Raw genomic sequence first — 21,802 nt, 5'->3', positions numbered from 1 at the left:
GTCGTGTTGAGTGTTGCATATGCATGCATTCTCATTCAATCTTCACCTGCAAAGTAGGTTTTTTTTCCCCCCATTTTGTATATGAGGAAACTAAAGTTTGGAAAGGTTAAGTAACAAGCCCAGGTCACACAGTTGGGGAACAACATGGCCAGGACTCACCTCCGTGTGTCTGGCCCCCATCCATGCTGTCCACACTGCACTGTCCTCTCTCACTTGTGCTGCCTGGTTCCTCCCTTCCCATGGTGCACATCTGCTGAGTGAATGCAATGACAGTGGCACAGCAGGTTTAAGCAGAGAAGGTGCCAGGTCTCGTCCCGAGTCTCACCCAAGTTCTTACCATGTAGGCCACTGACGCCAGCTCACAGATGATGCCCTGAGTGCCGAGCTCCATCACATCAATCAGTCCTGAAACATCAGCACACACACAACACATTTCAAAAAGTATATAAACATTTTCCTTATGAAACTAGAACTTATTTTAAGAGAACCCAAGAATGCCCCCAAGAAGCATAACCTGGTGGCAGAATTCACTGCGTGTGCTGAGAAGCCCAGACATCCTTCCCTGAGCAGTTACCATGACCATGATCTCAGGCAGCTCAGATTAACACAGCCTCATTCTACAAATCCCTACTCCGCCAGGAAACAAAATATCAGGTTCAAGGTAGAAAAAAGAATGGCCAGGTGCAGTGGCTCCCACCTGTAATCCTAGTACTTTGGGAGGCTGAGGTGGCAGGATCACCTGAGCCCAGGAGTTTGAGACCAGCCTGGGCAACATAGTGAGACCCCCATCTTTACAAAAAAAAAAAAAAAATTAGTTGGGCGTGGTGGCACACTCCTGTAGTCCCAGCTACTCAGGAGGCTGAGGCCGGAGGATCACTTGAGCCCAGGAGGTCGAGGCTGTAGTGAGCTGTGATTGCACCACTGCACTCCAGCTTGGGTGACAGACTGAGACCCTACCCCCACCCCCAAAAAGCATAAAAAAGTGAGGCTGTTAGAGTTGCAAGTCACTCCGTAGAGAGACATGGGGTCACATGGTGGGAGGGGAGGCAGAAGGCTGCAGAACTCTACAGATAGCTGATGGGACTGTTGATGTGTTCAAGTGTCCATGGAAATGGCAACGTTGTCACTGTCACCCTCTGCATCGACTGTTACTTTACTAATAACAAGATGGCTAAGGTAAATATCTATGGCAAAAATTATTACAGTTCCAACAGAAACATAGGCCATGGCTAAAACAGGGCTAAATCCGTCACCCTGAGTACATACAACTCTTAGAAATTTGGCTTGGGCTAGGCATTGTGGCTCATGCCTGTAATCCCAGCACCTTGGGAGGCCAAGGCAGGTGGATCACTCAAGGTCAGGAGTTTCAGACCAGCCTGGCCAACACGGTGAAATCCCATCTCTACCAAAAATACGAAAATTAGCCAGGCGTGGTAGTGCACGCCTGTAGTCTCAGCTACTTGGGAGGCTGAGCCAGGAGAGTCGCTTGAACCAGGGAGGCGGAGGTTGCAGTGAGCCGAGATCACGCCACTGTACTCCAGCCTGGGTGACAGAGCGAGTCTCTGTCTCAAAAAATAAATTAAAATTAAAATTAAAAAACAATTTGGCTTGATACCTGGCAAAAGTCAGCTGAGGCACAAGCTAGTTCATGAGGCCTGGGGTGGGGCTTTTGTTCCTTCAGTTGGTGACCTCTGACAAACCTCTGACCGGCAGCTTCCCTTTCCTCACTTACAAAATGAAGGGTACTGCAGCAGAGCCAAAACCCCACCCAACCTGAGTCTGCTAATGATGGGATGAGGGCTTAAACCTATATTGAAAAGCTCCACAAGAGCCTGATGAAATGAGGCAGGACAAAGAAGCAAAGCTGGAGCTTCCTGGGAATCTCTGGAGATGTGACTGGCCGGGCTGAGGACAGCTTTCAGCTGGACTGCTGACAAACCTGCAAGGAAGTTTCCGATCTCAAAGGTCCACTGCTCAGTGCACACCATGAACATACTGGGAATAACCAGGTGGATGTAGGAGCCCCACTCCTGGAAGCACTCCCTCGTCCAACCTAGGGAACAGGAAAGAAAACAGGCGTTTGTTTTTCAACAGTCTCTGGCACCAACAATTCTATTTCACATACCTGTACCCTGCAAATGGCCAGAGACTAGGCGCAACCTCAGTTCTCCAGCAAAATATAAAGATGCCAAATGGATTGAGATGGCAGGCACTAAGCTGGCAAGACTCAGTAGATGCCCTTTCACCCACACATTCTACTCCCGGGTATAAATGGCAGAGGGATTTTTGTAGACCTCTATAAAAAAACATATAGAATATTCCCTGTGGCAGACGTTAGTTGAGGGGTGTGGGAGACAACATGGAACTAGAGGAATAAAATATGATAGATGCACATTATGATTAAAAGCAAAACTGATGTATATATAGCAATGTGGATTTTTTTTTTTTTTTTTTTTTTTTTTTTTTTTTTTTTTTTTTGAGACGGAGTCTCGCTCTGTCGCCCAGGCTGGAGTGCAGTGGCGCGATCTCGGCTCACTGCAAGCTCCGCCTCCCGGGTTCACGCCATTCTCCTGCCTCAGCCTCCCGAGTAGCTGGGACTACAGGCGCCCGCTACCACGCCCGGCTAATTTTTTGTATTTTTAGTAGAGACGGGGTTTCACCGTGTTAGCCAGGATGGTCTCGATCTCCTGACCTCGTGATCCGCCCGCCTCGGCCTCCCAAAGTGCTGGGATTACAGGCGTGAGCCACCGCGCCCGGCCGCAATGTGGATATTTTAAAATACACTATGTATTTAAAATACATAGTGCTCACCAGCAACAAAAGTAAACATAGATAAAACTTGTATGCATCAAAGGACACAATCTGCAGAGTGAAAGGGCAACCCATGGAATGGGAGAAAATATTTGCAAATCATATAAGGATATCTGGATATCATAATGTCCAGAATACATAAAACATTTCTATGGCCAGGCGCAGTGGCTCACGCCTGTAATCCCAGCACTTTGGGAGACCAAGGTGGGTGAATCACCTAAGGTCAGGAGTTCGAGACCAGCCTGGCCAACATGGTGAAGCTCCGTCTCTACTAAAAATACAAAAAATTAGCCAGGCGTGGTAGCAGGCACCTGTGATCCCAGCTACTCGGGAGGCTAAGGCAGGAGAATCGCTTGAATCTGGGAGGCGGAGGTTGCAGTAAACCGAGATTGCGCCACTGCACTCCAGCCTGGGCAACAGAGCGAGACTCCATTTCAAAACAATAACAACAACAACAACAACCAAAATTCCTATACCCAACAACAAAAAAAGAAGTAACCTGATTTAAGAAAAGGGAGGGCAACAGACTTGAAGAGACATTTCTCCAAAGATGATATATAAATGGTCAACAAATATATGAAAAGATGCTCAACATCTTTGTATTGGAAAATAACCATGGAGTGTCTTCCATAGGTCATATTTTATCACAACAAATAGAACCATGCCCCGCTCTGGCATACAGAGCCAGGGACTCTGTCTTCCTGTCTATTTTTCCATTCCACTCCCCTACCCAATCCTCCATTTTACCCTTTGTTAATCCATTCCTAAATTTTCTTCTCCTTTTCCCCGCTATCCCCAAGCTTCCCTGTGTACATCTGTTGGGGAAACCTCTAAGAGACGCTTTCTGAGGTCCACCTCCCAGGAGAACCTGGGTGGCCCAGGCCTCCTGTTTCTGGACATGGGTCAACCAACTGGTGCTCACACCTCCCTGTGGGACTCCAGCTTCCCGGGCCAGTGCCTCGTCCAGCTTTCTGACAGAAGGTGTGTTTCACTGATGTGTTCTTATGTTCCATCTTCAGCCAGCCTTTAAAGATTTTCTGGCCACACTGAGGAGCCTGGCTCTGGCTCTAGGCACAGAAGTGTCCCCCAGTGAGGGACCAGTGAATTGATAGTGTTTTCTTTCTGGGACCCTCATCTCCTCAAGCTTCATAAGGATGCAATTGGGCTCAGTTTCTTACAATTCCAAGATGCTAGGAGAATCCCTAAGGTGTCTGCCCTACTCTGTCTTTGCTGGGGTGGCCCCTTTCAGCCTTCACAGACCACAGCAACTCCCTTCTCTAGGCGAATTCCACCTCAACACACAATCAGCTTACACATCGCTTCTTCCCAGGCACCATCCCTATCTCTCCACCCACTAACCCACTGACCTTCCTTCCAACAGCCTGAGCCAGCTGCTTCTCCTGTGAGGTCCTGTGGCACCCAGTTCTCATCTGGCACACAGACCACCTGAACACCCAACTCTATTGCCTGTCCACCTGTCCATATTCCCTCTACCAGACGATTTCACTCTCGCTATCCCCAGTCCCAGGGACAGGAGACAGCAGACAGCAGACATTCAGTATGTGTTGAATTCAGGGGTCGTGACTTACACCACTCTGAAGTCCAGGGCATACAGCAAGAGGGCATTCATGCCCACGTTGATGACATTAGCTGCAATCCTGGTAATAACTTGAGGCATGCTGATGCCCTAAAACCCCCAAACAAATAGGAAAACATTCACATTTTCGAAAGCTAATTAGCTAGCCTATCAAGTGAACACTCACAGTTAAACAGGGAACAGTTTAAATGATGGCAAAGTTACTCAGGACTGGAATGGTCAGGAGCTGAGATGACCAGATTAGTCTCCTCCGTTGGTGCATTATCTGCCTATCCCAACCAGAAGCTTGCAACTGCTTCTGAATAACCTGGTAGGTCATGGTTTCCAGAAGAGCAGCAGAGAGAAAAAACCTCCTGAAGGGCAAATGGGCCCTGGCATGAAGTGAAGGAGAGGCAGCTTGGAAGATATCTGTGCCAAGTTGCTAAAGTTCTTGCATACAAGACACCCAGCAATGCCTGCTTCATAGCAGGTGTGCAGAACATGTTCACCCTATTGTTGTAGGCGCCAGTCACTCATTTCTTTTGTTTATCCTGTCTATTCAAACATTTTCTTTCAGTAAAACCTCTCTTTCATTCCTGCATTGAAACAGAGAGCTGACTGTTACCAAAGCTGGGTAAGGCAAGAGGGCTGCGGCCTCAGATGGGCGAGAAGGGACCCGGGGAGGCAGAGCTCTGCTTCTCTCCACTGTCCACCCAAATCTTGCCCTCAGACTCCTTCGCTGCTCCCTAGTGGCTGTAGGGACCCCAGGCCCTCCTCTCTAAAGCAGAAGCACAGGAGCCAGGCCCCAGGCCAGATGCAAAGCTGGCACCAGCCCCAAGAGAGGGGAGGGGTCGGGGCAGGGGTCGAAGCAGGTGGTGGTGATTGAAAGGGGAATGGGATGGATTGATACAGCCGTCTCTCTTGGGCTAGACAAAATTCACCTACAAGGCCTCAATCTCTCAGGCAAAGAACTCTAAGGTAGAATTACAGGGGGAAAAATGTGAATTACTGTTATAGAACATTCCCTACGAATATTTACTAGACATTTCCAGGATTATGGAGTAAAAATTGTAAAAAGAATCTATACCTGACTTTGTAAATATCTTGTCTGCAGCTGGAACAAGAATGCTGCCTGTAAGTTTAAACAGAAAAACAAACACTTCTCATTAATATAAATTCCAACGGTTTAGTTTAGTTCCGGTTTTTAATCTTAAATAAGACACTTCCCCTTGATGTATGATCTCAGAGAACCTCACTCACATGAGACAATGCTAGGGCACTATTTGGAATTTTCCAGAGTGGATAAAAGATGTACTCCCTGAAGAATTGACACAGGCCGATTCCAACTGGCTGAGGCAGAAGCCACCGTCTTGACATTTCGAACGGCTCCGAGGGTGCCCGAATGCAGCACTCCCCAAATCCTAGATGATCCAGAAACATTCTGGTTGATTTGCAATCAAAAATAACCATAGAACAAGGAATCAGGAAGGAAATGTCTTCCCCTCATCAATCTTTGTCTTTTTTTTTTTTTTTTTGAGACAGAGTCTTGCTCAGTCACCCAGGCTGTAGTGCAGTGGCACGATCTGGGCTCACTGCACGCTTCGCCTTCCGGGTTCACGCCATTCTCCTGCCTCAGCCTCCCGAGTAGCTGGGACTACAGGTGCCCGCCACCACGCCCGGCTAATTTTTTGTATTATTAGTAGAGACGGGGTTTCACCATGTTAGCCAGGATGGTCTCGATCTCCTGACCTCGCGATCCACCTGCCTCAGCATCCCAAAGTGCTGGGATTACAGGCATGAGCCACCGTGCCCGGCCCAATCTTTGTCTTTAATTTAAGCTACTGTACACCAGAGTGGTACATGTCCTGAGAGTCAGCAAGGGAGGGACGACAGGGCCAAGAAATACATGTCGGGCTTTTGGCATGAACTGCACCAAGATGGAGAAACAAGAGCCGGGGGAAGGGGCATGTGCAGGGCGACACATGTGAGCTGCTTCATGTAGTGAGACACAACAGCCTTGAAACTTACAGGAAGGGCAGGAATGAAAATCAGCACATAAATTTGGGCTATCCTGAAACAAACAAAATAGTCTTCAGTTAATATTAAAACAGTTGCTGGTCATATTGTCTTCAAATTGAACCCACAGAGTATTTTCTAAAAATTAAAATTAAAAATTATTTACTTTTTAGAGACAGGGTCTTGCTCTGATGCCCAGACTGGAGTAGAATGGCACCATCATAGCTCGCTGTAACCTCAAACTCCTGGGCTCAAGCAATCCTCCTGCCTCAGCCTCCCAAAGTGCTGGGATTACTATAGACGTGAGCCACCACACCCGGCCTAAAAATGAGAGAAACTTAATAACAACTTTTAAGTGTTTTTCTTCAACCTACACAAACATGACACTAAGTCTACTAAATGTCTGCTATCTAAGGGGCAGTCTGACCACTTTCCATTTTTCAGCTCATTCTTAGCATGAAAACTAAAACTTGGGCAAAATTCAGAAACCATTGGAAAGTGTCAGGGTCACCTAACAGTGAGCGAGACAGTCTTCTAGAAAGGACCACGCACCCCAAGGACAATACCAGAGAATACACTGGAATTATAGGTTAAAGAAAAAACCCAACACTAAAGTCATACGTGAAGGCGATTACACTGCTATTCTACTTCAGGGGAAAAATATTTTCTGCATTTGCCAGACAGCAAAATGGAGGGACTCGGTGAACGGGAGACAGGCCAGGCACACAACACCCTGGTCCTGTATCTTGTCACCCTGAGTCAGGTGGTCCCTGCAGCCCCCAGACCCTGTGGCCCACAGTCACAGCTTTCATTTTGTTGTTGTTGTTGTTGTTGTTGTTGTAGTTGTTGTTTGAGACGGAGTTTTGCTCTTGTCACCCAGGCTGGAGTGCAATGGCACGATCTTGGCTCACTGCAACCTCCGCCTCCCAAGTTCAAGTGACTCTCCTGCCTCAGCCTCCCAAGTAGCTGGGATTACAGGCACCTACCACCACGCCTGGCTAACTTTTTTGTATTTTTAGTAGAGACGGGGTTTCACCATGTTGGCCAGGCTGGTCTCGAACTCCTGATCTCAGATGATCCACCTGCCTCGGCCTCCCAAAGTGCTGGGATTACAGACGTGAGCCACTGTGCCTGGCCAGCTTTCATTTTTGAAAGGGATCAAGACCATGTAATTGGCCGAAAATGTCCACACAGGTACAATGACCAGATAGCCACTTACTCTTAACCTAGGATTGGGAAACAGGGGACCTCACCTGGAGACTTCGGGTCTTGTTTTAAGAGCAGGAGGATGCGCTCGGTGTTGACCAAGTCGGCCCAGCAGGGAAAGCAGCACAGCATAAGGATGAGGACCCCTCTCTGAAGTATGATCCCCACGCGCTTGAGGTTCTTGACTCCAAAGGACTTGAGAAAACAAATGCACTGCTAACAGCATATGCCAGGCAGGCCGAGGCTGGGGGCCTGCGCCACAAGCAACCCCTCCCAGGGGCGCCTGCCCGGCGCCCAGGCAGTCCGGTTTCCCATCATCTGCTCCCGCCCTCCCCACCAACAGCTGACAGCATTGGGGGAGCTTCTGAGCCAGGGACAACCACAGAGGCCCCTGTGGCATTTTACACATGTCCTGGGACAATGTGTCCCTGCTCCCAGGAGCTGGGACTGTTAACATGGAGGGTAGAGGCAGCAGAAACTGAAGCTTAAAAGAGAGTTTTCCACATGGGGGAGACAGATGCTGCAGGAGAATGTGTGCCATTGTAGAAGGTGAAGTTGTGGGGGACTCTGAGGGCCAGGGATACCCGGGGAGGGTGCAGTGGAAGAAAAGCACACACTGTAGGCTGAGAAGGGCAGCTAGCAGGGTGGCAAGAACTTCGGGGGGCGGGAGGTCATGGAGGCCAAGGCAGTGCTCTAGAAAGCAGGGATGGCCAAGTGGATTAAGGACGGCCAAGCGCTCACCTGAGGATTTTGTCACAGGAGGCCGGGAAGAGGCCAGGCCCAGTGGACTGGGCAGGAACAAACAAGGCATCAATAGGGGCTGAGTCGGGAGTGCAGGCCAGGCCCGAGTGCAAAGAACACCTTCAAGAAGCTTGGCTTGAAGGAGGCCAGCAGGGAAGGAGGGGTGGTGGTAAGGGAGGGCGATTTTAGGGTATGGGAGACCAGACTGGGAGGAACAAAGGACAAAATGCCCTTGAGCAGGTGGCCCCAGAGGACAGCACTAGTCAAGCTGACTCTGCTGTTTTGTTTTTTTGTGTTTTTTTTGTTTTTGTTTTTTTGAGATGAAATTTAGCTCTGTCGCCCAGGCTGGGAGTGCAGTGGCGAGATCTCAGCTCACTGCAACCTCTGCCTCCCGGATTCAAGCGATTCTCCCACCTCAGCCTCCTGAGTAGCTGGGATTACAGGCGCCCACAACCGTGCCTGGCTAATTTTTGTATTTTTAGTGGAGGTGGGGTTTCATGATGTTGGCCAGGCTGGTCTCGAACTTCTGACCTCAGGTGATCTGCCTGCCTTGGCATCCCAAAGTGCTGGGGTTACAGGCGTGAGCCACTGCGCCTGGCTGACCCTGGTTGTGTTTCCAGTCATTAGCAGCTATGTACAGATGTTTGTTCCAGTAGTCCCAGCTACATGGGAGGCTGAGGCAGAAGGATCTCTTGAGCCCGGGAGTTCAAGCCCAGCCTAGGCAACATAGGGAGACCTCGCCTGCAAAAATAAATATAATTTTTTTAAAAAGATGCTCCATGACTTACAATGGGCTACCTAGCTACCTCACAACTGTAAATTAGAAATATCTTGAGTTGAAAATGCATTGAATGCATCTAACCTACCAAACATCACAGTTTAGCCTGGCCCACTTTAAACGTGCTCAGAACACTTACATTAGCCCACAGCTGAGTAAAATAATCTTAGATAAAGCCTATTTGTGATACAGTGTTGACTATCTCATGGAATCTACTGGACGGTACTGAAAGTGGAAAGCAGAATGGTTGTAAGGGGCTTGAAGTGCAGCTACTGAACGCGTGTCACTGTTGTACCATCACAAAGTTTAAAAATCTAAGTCAGGGACCATCTGTATTTGACAAATAAAATGCAACAAAACCCATAGGGTGGATGGTCCTAGAAAGTCTCTATTATGAAAGGTAACTGTCAAAAAACGGTATGTGGGGGAGGGTGGTCCTCACCTGAGACATGAGGGTGTCATAAGCTGAGGCTAAGCCAGTGCCAACTGCAATCCCAGTAACGTTCACCACCTGCAAGAGAACCACAGACCTGGTGTGGCAGACCTTCAGGGGACGACGCCAGTTCAGGGTCGCATCAGACAGCTCCCTCTTCATGGAGGAACCTCAACAAGCTTGTCTCTAAAGGGCAACTCAACAGATGTATGCTGTATTTTAGATCAAATGGGTGTCTACATCTATCCTTATTGATTACTGAACAAAAGTGTACCTTCTAACTAAAGGATGATAACCACCTTGTGTCAACTGGGGAAATATTAAACCTAGTTTTTCTTAAACAGTATAGCACATTATAATTTCTATATTTAAGGTTAAATTGTGGGCCAGGTGCGGTGGCTCATGTCTGTAATCCCAGCACTTTGGGAGGCCGAGGCAGGTAGATCACTTGTGGCCAGGAGTTTGAGACCAGCCTGACCAACATGGTGAAACCCCATGTCTACTAAAAATACAAAATTGGCCGGGCATGGTGGCGGGCGCCTGTAATCCCAGTTACTCGGGAGGCTGCGGCAGGAGAATCACTTGAACCCCGGAGGTGGAGGTTGCAGTAAGCCAAGATCATACCATTGCACTCTAGCCTGGGTGACAGAGTGAGACCCTGTCTCAAAAAAAATAAAAAATAAATAAAGTTAAGTTGTGGTTAACATCTAAAGGTGATGCCCCGATCTGCCAGTAGGATGTGCATTTAGTAATAATAACAGCAAACTTTTATTGAGCACATACTATGTGCCAGGCACTGTCCTAAGCCCCTCATGTGCATAGTGCTAGGACAACTCGTCTCATTTTTTGTTTTGGGTAACCTGAGTTACACAAAGTGTATGTCCCTTGCCCAAGTTACTCAGATGGTGACCTAAGTCTGGGAAGTCTGGCTCCAGATCCCAAGCTTTAGTCCTCCAGTGAGGAACAGGACTAGTTGTGTCACCCTCTTGACCAGACCTCACCCAGTCCCTGACAATTAAGGGCACATAGAGTAGCCTGCAGGTAGGGTGCAGGAGGCATTCAGGACGAGGGGCTGAAAGACCCTCATTTGCGTCCTGGGTCTCACGGTTACTGGTGATGGCAGCCCCAGGTGAGTTAGCTTCTTCACTGACCACGACTCTGGCTTGATAAACACAAACTCCAGCCCCACCACATAACTGACAGGCCATACATGTACTGCCCAGCGGGACCCCATGAGACCAGGGTCTCCATCTAACCGTGCCCCAGGAGGGCTGTGGCACAATGAGGATTTACCCACACAGCAACACTGAATTCCAGCCAGGGCAGAGGGGCATGACTAAAGCTCCCAAACCCCTCGGACTGCCAGGAAAACAGAAAGGTAAAGCATGCTAATTTATGAAGTTTTGTGTTTTAAAAAGTCACACAGAGCTGGGCACGGCGGCTCATGCCTGTAATCCCAGCACTTTGGGAGGCCGAGGTGGGCAGATCACTTGAGGCCAGGAGTTCAAGAGCAGCCCGGACAACATGGCAAAACCCCATCTCTAGAAAATACAAAAATTAGCCAGGAGTGGTGGTATGCACCTGTAGTCCCAACTACTCAGGAAGCTGAGGCACAAGAATTGTTTGAACCTGGGAGGCAGAGGTTGCAGTGAGCCAAGACTGCGCCCCTGCACTCTAGCCTGGGCAACAGAGCAAGACTCTGTCTCAAAAAAAAAAAATATGTCACATAGGAGTGTAGGGGGATGGGGGGGATAGGGAGAGATGTGTTAAAGGATACAAAGTTACAGTTAGGCAGAAGGAATAGGCTCCTGTGTTCCACCACACTGCAGGGTGACTGCAGGAAACAATCACAGATAGCTTCAAATAGCTGGAAGGATACTGAAGCCTGGGCAACATGACCAGACCCCATCTTTACAAAAATTTTAAAAATTAGTTGGACATTGGCCGAGTGTGGTGGCTCACGCCTGTAATCCCAGCACTCTGGGAGGCTGAGGCAGGTGGATCACCTGAGGTCAGGATTTCGAGACCAGCCTGGCCAATACGGTGAAACCCTGTCTCTACTAAAAATACAAAAATTAGCTGGGTGCGGTGGCACATGCCTGTAGTCCCAGCTACTCAGGAGGCTGAGGCAGGAGAATCGTTTGAACCCAGGAGATGGAGGTTGCAGTGAGTCACTGCACTCCAGCCTGGGTAACAGAGTGAGACTCTGTCTCAAAAAAAAAAATTTTTTTTGCTGGACTTGGTGGCACACAACTGTGGTTCTAGCTACTTAGAAGGCTGAGGTGGGAGGATCACTTGAGCCCAGGGGTTTGAGGCTGCAGTGAGCTATGATTGCACCACTGCACTCCAGCCTGGGTGACAGGGCAAGATCCTGTCTCAAAAAAAAAAAAAAAAAAGAAATAAAAGAAAAGAAGATATTGAATATTCCCAACACAGAGAAATGAGAAATGTGTTACTCTCCCCCGGGGCTCAGTCTACCCATGTAAAGCAGGACCATGGCCTTGGGCCCCGTGGCTTCTGCTGTCACAAGCTTTTATCAAACTGAGCTCTGACGTTAGACCTCTCGCTTACAACACACAACTTTATAAAAGATAGAACAAAAATTGCTACTCTGTCTCTGGCGACAAGCAGCCCAGAACACCACGCTCCATGTCATGGTGTCTGCCTTCTGAAGGTCAAGGGGAATGTGGCTGAGGCTCAGTACCCAGGCCCGCCCTTCCGCTGAATCAAGGCTTCCATAAAACCTCAGCACAGTTTCCATCCTATCCCATGCCAACTCACCCCTGGCTCCCAGCTTTTCCACCCATGTTTCTTTGACCCAATTCTAACAGCTATTTATTTATCCTTCTTTTAGGGAAGTATTTGTGTAAACTGGTTCAAATTCTTCGTGGAACAAGGTGGACTATAAATAAATGTTCCTTTATTTAAAAAAAAAAAACACATTTTTATTAGTCCTTTTATACTATGAACATTTTTCCAAAGGTAAAAAATTTTGTTTTCACAGTTATCTTAAAAATGAGTCTATTATCTTCCTAGAAGATCTCACTGCAACCTCCGCCTCCCGGTTTCAAGAGATCTCCTGCCTCAGCCTCCCAAGTAGTTGGGATTACAGGCACCCACCACCATGCCTGGCTAATTTTTGTGTTTTTAGTAGAGACGGGGTTTCGCCATGTTGGTCAGGTTAGTCTTGAACTCCTGACTTCAGGTGATCCGCCCGCCTCAGCCTCCCAAAGTGCTGGGATTACAGGTGTGAGCCACCACGCCATGCCTAACCACAGGAATTTCTGTAGCCCGTTCCTGATAAGGGGCTCTGCGCTCTTCCGCCTTTGGCCAAGGGCAGTGGTAGGTCAGCTAAGTTGTCAAGACAATTTTGGCCAACATGGTAAAACCCCGTCTCTACTAAAAATACAAAAATTAGCCAGACACGGTGGTGGGCGCCTGTAATCCCAGCTACTCAGGAGGTTGAGGTGGGAGAATTGCTTGAATCTGGGAGGCGGAGGTTGCAGTGAGCTGAGATCTCACCACTGCACTCCAGCCTAGGCAATAGAGCAAGACTTCATCTCAGGAAAAAACAAAAACAAAAAAAACACAAAAAAACAAAACAGCAGAGTCAGCTTGACTAGTGCTGTCCTCTGGGGCCACCTGCTCAAGGGCATTTTGTCCTTTGTTCCTCCCAGTCTGGTCTCCCATACCCTAAAATCGCCCTCCCTTACCACCACCCCTCCTTCCCTGCTGGCCTCCTTCAAGCCAAGCTTCTTGAAGGTGTTCTTTGCACTCGGGCCTGGCCTGCACTCCCGACTCAGCCCCTATTGATGCCTTGTTTATTCCTGCCCAGCCCACTGGGCCTGGCCTCTTCCCGGCCTCCTATGACAAAATCCTCAAGTGAGCGCTTGGCCGTCCTTAATCCACTTGGCCATCCCTGCTTTCTAGAGCACTGCCTTGGCCTCCATGACCTCCCGCCCCCCGAAGTTCTTGCCACCCTGCTAGCTGCCCTTCTCAGCCTACAGTGTGTGCTTTTCTTCCACTGCACCCTCCCCGGGTATCCCTGGCCCTCAGAGTCCCCCACAACTTCACCTTCTACCATGGCACATGTTCTCCTGCAGCATCTGTCTGCCTCCCATGTTGAAAACTCTCTTTTAAGCTTCAGTTTCTGCTACCTCTACCCTCCATGTTAACAGTCCCAGCTCCTGGGAGCAGGGACACATTGTCCCAGGACACGTGTAAAATGCCACAGGGGCCAGCTAGCTCACTGGTTGTCCCTGGCTCAGAAGCTCCCCCAATGCTGTCAGCTGTTGGTGGGGAGGGCGGGAGCAGATGATGGGAAACCGGTCTGCCTGGGCGCCGGGCAGGCGCCCCTGGGAGGGGTTGCTTGTGGCGCAGGCCCCCAGCCTCGGCCTGCCTGGCATATGCTGTTAGCAGTGCATTTGTTTTCTCAAGTCCTTTGGAGGCAAGAACCTCAAGCGCGTGGGGATCATACTTCAGAGAGGGGTCCTCATCCTTATGCTGTGCTGCTTTCCCTGCTGGGCCGACTTGGTCAACACCGAGCGCATCCTCCTGCTCTTAAAACAAGACCCGAAGTCTCCAGGTGAGGTCCCCTGTTTCCCAATCCTAGGTTAAGAGTAGGTGGCTATCTGGTCATTGTACCTGTGTGGACATTTTCGGCCAATTACATGGTCTTGATCCCTTTCAAAAATGAAAGCTGTGACTGTGGGTCACAGAGTCGAGCCCACAGCCCCAGGGATGACAGCAGAGGCGGGGAGAGGAGAAGAGTGGACACCCAGATGCTGAGGTCCTCTTGAACAAGGTGGCTGACTGGCCATTAGATGTCATCCACATGGAGGAGTGACCGATGGCCCAGAAGTGAGCCCAGGGAGCACCCTGGGGGCAGTGATGGTTGGCAAGCAGTAATCAGAAAAGGTGGACCCCAATCCTGGGCCCTGCGGGGACACAGCAGGAAATTTCCCTGCCAGTCTTAGATCATCATCCTGTTAAGGTAGAGGCCAAGCTCGTCTTTCCCGGTGGGGACACTGGAGCAGCCATGTATACGAATCTCCTCTGCCTTCATGCCTCTTCCTAGAGTCCCAGTCTAAACTTTCAAAGGAAGCAAAAATGTCCCTTAATCCAATACGTTCACCAAATAACAGACCTGTAAATAAAATGTGTGACTGATTCCACCTGGCAAGGTCTTGGCTCCCATGTAGCTGAATGAGAAGCTCCGGTGGCCCTCCGTGTTCTTAGGGTGTGTACCCATCTCACGGGGACACAGGGGACATTTTCTGAGACTAGGGAAAGCCGCCTACCATCACCAGCAGAAGTGTTTTCCACTTTCTCTGAAAGCCTGGATGAAATGCAGGAAGAAACAACTTTCCACATCACTAACAAAAGCCAGGGAACAGACGTCCCAGGAGGTGTGATTTCAATCCATGGGAGAGGCTTTTCCACAAGGGTGAAAGGGTGGGAGCTGAATGTACTGTGTAATCCAATTAATGGCAAACAACCTAAATTACCTAAAAGTCTCCTGATTTAATTTCATAATAGAAAAAAGTGCAGTTATTTCAGTTTTACACTTTTCTAAGTATTGACACGAGCTCCTTCCAAATCTAATCAGGTAATGGTAAGCCACAGGTCAGTCCCAGACCTGTAAAGGAAGATGCATAAGACATGATACAATTCAAACTGATTTTTTTTTCTTTCCTTTTTTTTTTTTTTTTTTTTTTGAGACGGAGTCTCCTTCTGTTACCCAGGCGGGAGTGCAGTGGCACAATTCCGGCTCACTGCAACCTCAGGCCCCTGGGTTCAAGCGGTTCTCGTGCCTCAGCCTCCCAAGTAGCTGGGATTACAGGCCCGTGCCACCACACCCGGCTAATTTTTGTATTTTTAGTAGAGACGGCGTTTTCCCATGTTGGCCAGGCTGGTCTCAAACTCCTGACCTCAGGTGATCCGCCTACCTCGGCCTCCCAAAGTGCTGGCTGGGATTACAGGCGTTAGCCACCGCGCCCCGCCCTGTGTGTTTGTTTTTGAGACAGGGTCTTGCTCTGTTGCCAAGGCCGGGGTGCAGTGGTGCGGTCTCAGCTCACTGCAGCCTCGATCTGCTGGGCTTAAGCGATCCTCCTGCTTCAGTCTCCCGAGTAGCTGGGACCATAGGCGGTGCCACCACGCTGGGATAATTTTTGTATTTTTAGTAGAGACGGGGGTCTTGCTATGCTGCCCAGGCTGGTCTCGAACTCCTGAGCTCAAGCGATCCTCCCACCTGGGCCTCCCAAAGCGCTGGGATTACAGTCGTGAGCCACAGCGCCTGGGGACACCGCTCAAATCCTAACCCTTGGCCGCCCGTCGGCTCCTACAGGGGCGAAATCAGGCACCCACCGTGACGGCGAGCGTGACAGCGTCCGGCTCGACCTTGCCCAGATGTCCACAGAAGATGGAGCTGACGAGGCTGATTATAAAGATCATCAACTGCGCAAGAAACTGCGGAGGCGCGGAAAGCAAGGCGCGTTCACAGCCGCCCTCCCTCCTGGAAGCCCGCGCCCACCCCTGCGCGGCGGCCGCTCCGGAGGCGTCGGGCTGGGCGTGAGGACGCCGCACTCACCACTGGGCCCGCGAGCGCCGCCAGCTCAGCCGCCTCCCCCCGCAGGTCCGGGGGCAGCGCACCCCGCAGGCCCCACAAGCCGTCACGCCATCCGAGGGCCCGGAGCCGCTATGGGGGCCGGTCCTTGGCGGCGGCGGGGAGCTCGGCGGGGACCGGGGCGTCGGCGGCCGCAGGGGCCTCCATGCGGAGGCTGGGAGCGGCTGGCGGCGGCGCGGGCGCGGGACCGCAGCGCGGTGTGGGGGTGAGGGGGGCGACCCGATCCCACCCAGCCCCGCCCCTCCCCGTCCCGGACCCGCTCCAGACGCCCAGGGCAATGGTCGCCGCCCGCAGAACTCTGGGGGAGGGCACCGGGAGGGCCCTTGGGGGCTTATGAAGGGGGCTCGGGGAAGGGGTCCCTGCGTGAGAGGACCCCTCGTGTGCTTTTGGATGACACGGGTTTTTATCAGGAGAGTTTGTAGGTCAGGTTGGAAGAGCAAAATGCCTAGAGGGTGGGCAGACAGGACTGAGCTGGTGATTCCATCCTCCCGCGGAGCACAGGGCTGGCGCTTTCTGGCATGCTTCTGGCCTGGGCTTGCTGCGGGTTCAGTGTTTCCGGGAGAGGAGGGGTCCTGCCTCGCAGGGACCCCAGCCTCCCTGCTCCTGGCGGCCCGGGGTGGCCTCCTGGCCGCGGCTATTTGTGGCTGGTGGTTGAAAGAACCTCCTCTTATCCCCAGGGGGTCCCTGCCCTACCTGGCAAGGGGAAGGGCAGGGAGTCCTGTGCGAGGGGAATGGAGACAGGGTTCGAGGGTTCCTGACGAGGAGCTGGGGAGGGGCCTCTGTGGTGTCTGCCCCCTGCCCCCAGGCCCAACCCCGAGGGCCACAGTGCAAGCCTTTACCTGCCTTCCTGGAGAATGGGCCTCGTGGCCCCAAGAACAAGGCACTGAGGGTAGAGATACCTTAAGGTGGCCCCAACCAAAATCAGCAGTTGGGTGTTTTTTACTCAAAGTAGGTAACTTTTCTGATTTTGTTATTTCAGGAAAAGGCCATGCCTAGAGCATTATATCCATCCTAGCACTAAGTCAAAAATGTAGAGGCAAAATCTCTATTTAATGTTTTATTTTGGAAGAAAGAATTGCATGTTCAGGGCATCCATGTAGACCAGTTGGTCCTCGGTATGTCGGAACAACACAGAGAAGGCTGGAGGTTTTATCAAAAGAAATGTCAGTATTGCTCTTTGAGAAAGTTTATTGGCACCAGGAAGGGTGTTGGGAGCTGGCAAGCTACAACTGGTGAGCAACCGGGCAGGCAAAATTATTCCTAGAGCTTCAGCAAGTTCTCTCAGCAGTTATGGACAAAGCTGGTCCCAGCTTACAGCACGCAGTTTCACCAGCTGGATGTGCAGAGAATTACATTACTAGATTAATGTTATGTGCCTGAGGTGCTTTTATCCCTGGCTTCTTGACTTTTGATTGGGTGTGATAAGAATGACTTAATTTGGTGTAATCCACTTTCACAGCACTGAGCATACTTAGTATGTACTGAGGGTTGCTGAATTAACGGTGTGTACCGCACCCCAGGAAGGCTTAATGAAGTAGGATTACTGCTTAAGCTAAGACCTTTATTAAAATTTTGTCCTCTGGCCAGTCGTGGTGGCTCATGCCTATAATCCCAACACTTTGGGAGGGCAAGGTGGAAGGATTGCTTGATCCCAGGAATTCAAGACCAGCCTGGGAAACAAAGGGTAGACCCTGGTATAAAAAATTAGCTAGGCGTGGTGGCACACGCCTGTGGTCTCAGCTACTCAGGAGGCTGAGGTGGGAGGATCACTTGAGCCCAGGAGGTTGAGGCTGCAGTACGTCACGCACACACCCCTACCAGGAATTATCAGTCTTTGTTTGGATTTCCACAGCTCGAAAGATTTCCCAACTGTTTTTCAGTGTCCACAGTGCCTAGATCTAGACCTCAAATGAAGATTAACAAATGCCAGCTGGGCATGGTGGCATACCCCTGTAGTCTCAGCTACTCTGGTGGCTGACACAGGAGGATTGCTTGAAGCCCAAGAGTTCGAGGCTGCAGTGAGCTATGATCGCACCACCGCACTCCAGCCTGCATGACAGAGCAAGACTTCCGTCTATTAAAAAAAAAATTAAAACAAAAACAAATACCATTTGCCCAGTGAATAGTAATCTAAGGCCCAAGGAAAGATATACTGTAAAATATATTTTACATAATTCAAGCAGTATGAATTCTTAAGCAGTTAGTTTATGGGTTTGTGTCTAAAAAAATAGCAGAAGTATCAAAGCCATTGGCCAATGCAGTCAGCACATTGATCCTTGCTTGGTTCAGATAGTGGTGAATTACTACTCATGTCATCTTTCAGACAGTGTCTTGGGCCACAATATAGCTTTTAACCTTAGTTGCTTTTTCTTTTTATAGAAAAATGTGTCTTTGCATTTCCAGCCCTCAAAATCCATGGGCACACCTGAATGACATTAACTCACAGTAAATTGTCACTGGTGGGCCTGTGAATTGTGTGTAAGCTCAAAAGCATCACTTGACCTGACTTTCTTTCCTACCACGTCACTGAATTCTGACATAGAATCTCACTAAAATCCCCACCAGCAAGATTAAGAAGACCCCCAGGAGCAGAAGCCCTCGCCGCAGCACCAGCTGTTTCCTGGACAATTTAGCGCCGTCCTGTGGATGTTCCGGCAAAGGTTCTTCTTGGCGCATCTGCTGATCTGACTGAGGCTCGCCTGTCTTTCCAACATCGTTCGTTAAAATTCCTTCAAGGTTTTCAGGGCACCCTGGGAGGAAAAAGGAACTTAGCAGCTTAAAAGGGATTTTTTTTTTCATTTTTATAAAGGGCTATGTATAAAAGGAATATGTGCTAATAGTGGAGAGAAAGTTAATTCAGGACACTATTGCTACAGTGAATAAATAAAAGAAATCTTATCGCAGAGTGCCCCTCCACTCACTCCTTCACGAACACCGATGATCCTACCAGCGCTGGCTTGGGTGCTCCAGGGAGCACTCTCCCAGGAGCTAGAGAAATAAGGTAGCCCTCTCCATTAAAATTCACAGGGAAGCCGGGCGCGGTGGCTCATGCCTGTAATCCCAGCACTTTGGGAGGCTGAGGCAGGCAGATCACCTGAGGTTGGGAGTTAGAGACCAGCCTGACCAATATGGAGAAACCCCGTCTCTACTAAAAATACAAAATTAGCCGGACATGGTGGCACATGCTTGTAATCCCAGCTACTCAGGAGGCTGAGGCAGTGAGGCAGGAGAATCGCTTGAACCCAGGAGGCAGAGGTTTGGGTGAGCCAAGATGGTGCCATTGCACTCTAGCCTGGGCAACAAGAGCAAAACTCCACTCCAAGGGAAAAAAAAAAAAGGATTCACAGGGGAAATTTTCAAGGAGCCAACACCCATCTAATAAGCATTTCAGAACAAAACACAAGGAGAAACAACCTAAGAAATAATTCAAGTCTGGGTGCGATGGCTCACGCCCGTAATTCCAACACTTTGGGATGCTGAGGTGGGAGAATCCCTTGAGCCCAGGAGTTCAAGACCAGCCTGGGCAACATAGTGATACCTCATCTCTACAAACAAAAACTTTGCTGGGCCTGATGGCGTATGCCTATAGTCCCAACTACTTGGGAGACTGAGGTGGGAGGATCACTTGAGCCCAGGATATCGAGGTGCAGTTAGCTATGATTGTGCTACTGCAGTCCAGCCTGAGTGACAGAGAGAGACCCAGTGTCAAAAAAAAAAAAAAAAAAGGAAGGAAGAAAGAATACAAGGCTATTCACAGAATGGGAGAAAGATGTGACCGTTCACATCAAAGGGCCTACTAAGTATTGAAGGATTGCAGAGAATTTCACCCCAAGATATGGCTCCCTGGTATAATGAGTATTTTAAATTAAAAACTCTTTGGAGATCAACAGGCCTTGAAAGAGACTTTTCCCCATCTACATAAAAGCCAGACAAACCCACCAAGAAGAACAATTGCCAAACCTTTTACAAAATAATGCCAGTCTCTCAGGTTCATTCAACTTCCAAAGGGAACCAGTCTGTCCACCCTGCCCCCAATCCATTCATTCTGCAAAATATTCAATCATTTTCCCTAGTACTCATTTACTATCCCTCAACAGAAGCACCAAATGCCCTATCTCCTCTCTCCCCTCTGAAAGTTGGTTATATGAGTGTTGGGCCTCACTGGGATGTTGGGTAATGACTGTGATTCTTCCCTTTTGCATGGTTAAATACATTTGTATGCCTTTTCTCTTATTCATCGGCCTTATTATAAGTTGATTTTTCAGTGAACCATCGGAGGGCAAGGGGATAGCTTCTCCTTCACCCCAACAGTTTCAAGCAGATAATGATTCACACCTAGACTTAGTCTCAAGACACTTCAGAACAGTAAGAGTAATAGGCCAGGCGTGGTGGTTCACACCTGTAATCCCAACACTTTGAGAGGCTAAAGCAGGAGGATTGCTTGAATCCAGAAGTTCAAGACCAACCTGGGCTGCAAAGCAAGACCTGGTCTCTACAAAAATATTAAAGAGTTAGCTGAGCATAGTGGCACGCACCTGTAATCCCAGCTACTCAGGAGGCTAAAACGGGAGGACTGTTTGAGCCTAGGAGTTTGAGACTGCAGTGAGCTATAATTGCACCACTGCACTCCAGCCTGGGTGACAGAACAAGACCCTATCTCAAAAAAAAAAAAAAAGGAATAATAATAAGAAAATGTCCTAAAAGCTTCCGAAGAGAAAAATGAAGGCATATTACATAATGGCACGAGAATAAGCTTGGCCATCCCACTTCCTAATGAGCATAAGTGGATGAATGTTAGGAATGTAGCAATATCCTCAGAGTTCTGAAAGAAAATCATTTTGGGCCGGGTGCAGTGGCTCATGCCTCTAATCCCAGCACTTTGGAAGGCTGAGACAGGCAGGTTGCTTGAGCCCAGGAGGTCAAGGCTGCAGTGAACCTTGATCGCACCACTGCACTCCAGCCTGGGTGACAGAGAAAGAGAGAAAGAGAGAAAAAGGGAGGGAGGGAGGGAGGGAGAAAAAGAAAATCATTTTGAACAGAATCATACCAGCTCACACTTAACAAAATGCTTTCCCTGGTCAGGCAGTTCTGGGTGCTTCTCAACCCCAACAGCGGTAGTATAAAAGTAAGTGCCATTGTTAGGCCGGGTGTGGTGGCTCACGCCTGTAATCCCAGTACTTTGGGAGGCCGAGCCAGGCGGATCACTTGAGGTCAGGAGTTCAAGAAAAGTCTGGCCAACATGGTGAAATCCCGTCTCTGCTAAAAATACAAATATTAGCAGGGTGTGGTGGTACACCACCGCACACACCTGTAATCCCAGCTACTCAGGAGGCTGAGGCAGGAGAATCACTTAAACCTGGGAGATAGAGGTTGCAGTGAAAACGAGCCACTGCACTCCAGCCTGGGCGACAGAGTGAGACTCAAAAACAACAACAGGGATAAGTGCTATTGTTATGCGGATTTCACAAATCAGGGAAATTGGCAAGATGGTAGAAAACATCCACCAACCCTTCCCTGAAGATCATTATAGAACCTCAATAAAACAAATTAAATATCATCTTGAAGGCATCAGAATGCAAACAATGTAATGAAGAGTCACCAGGGCAAGATCCAGGG

The 21,802-nt window shown here is 49.4% G+C and overlaps 1 protein-coding gene and 1 pseudogene across 1 annotated transcript in view, besides 1 other annotated feature; both read right to left on the bottom strand.

The window, feature by feature from the left end:
- SLC47A1P1 (SLC47A1 pseudogene 1) lies at positions 205-16,320 on the bottom strand (annotated as a pseudogene).
- Positions 17,229-21,802, bottom strand: part of SLC47A1 (solute carrier family 47 member 1) — a 45,181-nt gene continuing 40,607 nt past the window's right edge. Inside the window, exon 17 of the mRNA NM_018242.3 lies at positions 17,229-18,936. Coding sequence (NP_060712.2) covers positions 18,710-18,936 — 227 coding nt within the window. The 3' untranslated portion in view covers positions 17,229-18,709. The remainder of the gene's footprint in view (positions 18,937-21,802) is intronic.
- Positions 19,866-20,441: an enhancer, noted in NCBI's record as "NANOG-H3K27ac hESC enhancer chr17:19479135-19479710 (GRCh37/hg19 assembly coordinates)". NCBI's record gives its function as "activates a minimal SCP1, AML or CMV promoter by ChIP-STARR-seq in naive H9 embryonic stem cells {active_cell/tissue: H9 hESC(naive)}" and the evidence as "EXISTENCE:reporter gene assay evidence [ECO:0000049][PMID:30033119]".

The sequence above is a fragment of the Homo sapiens genome, chromosome 17 (assembly GCF_000001405.40).
Source record: "Homo sapiens chromosome 17, GRCh38.p14 Primary Assembly".
NCBI lineage: Eukaryota > Metazoa > Chordata > Mammalia > Primates > Hominidae > Homo > Homo sapiens.
The sequence above is the reverse complement of the archived record's forward strand: the minus strand, read 5'-3'. Positions and strand labels throughout refer to the sequence as shown.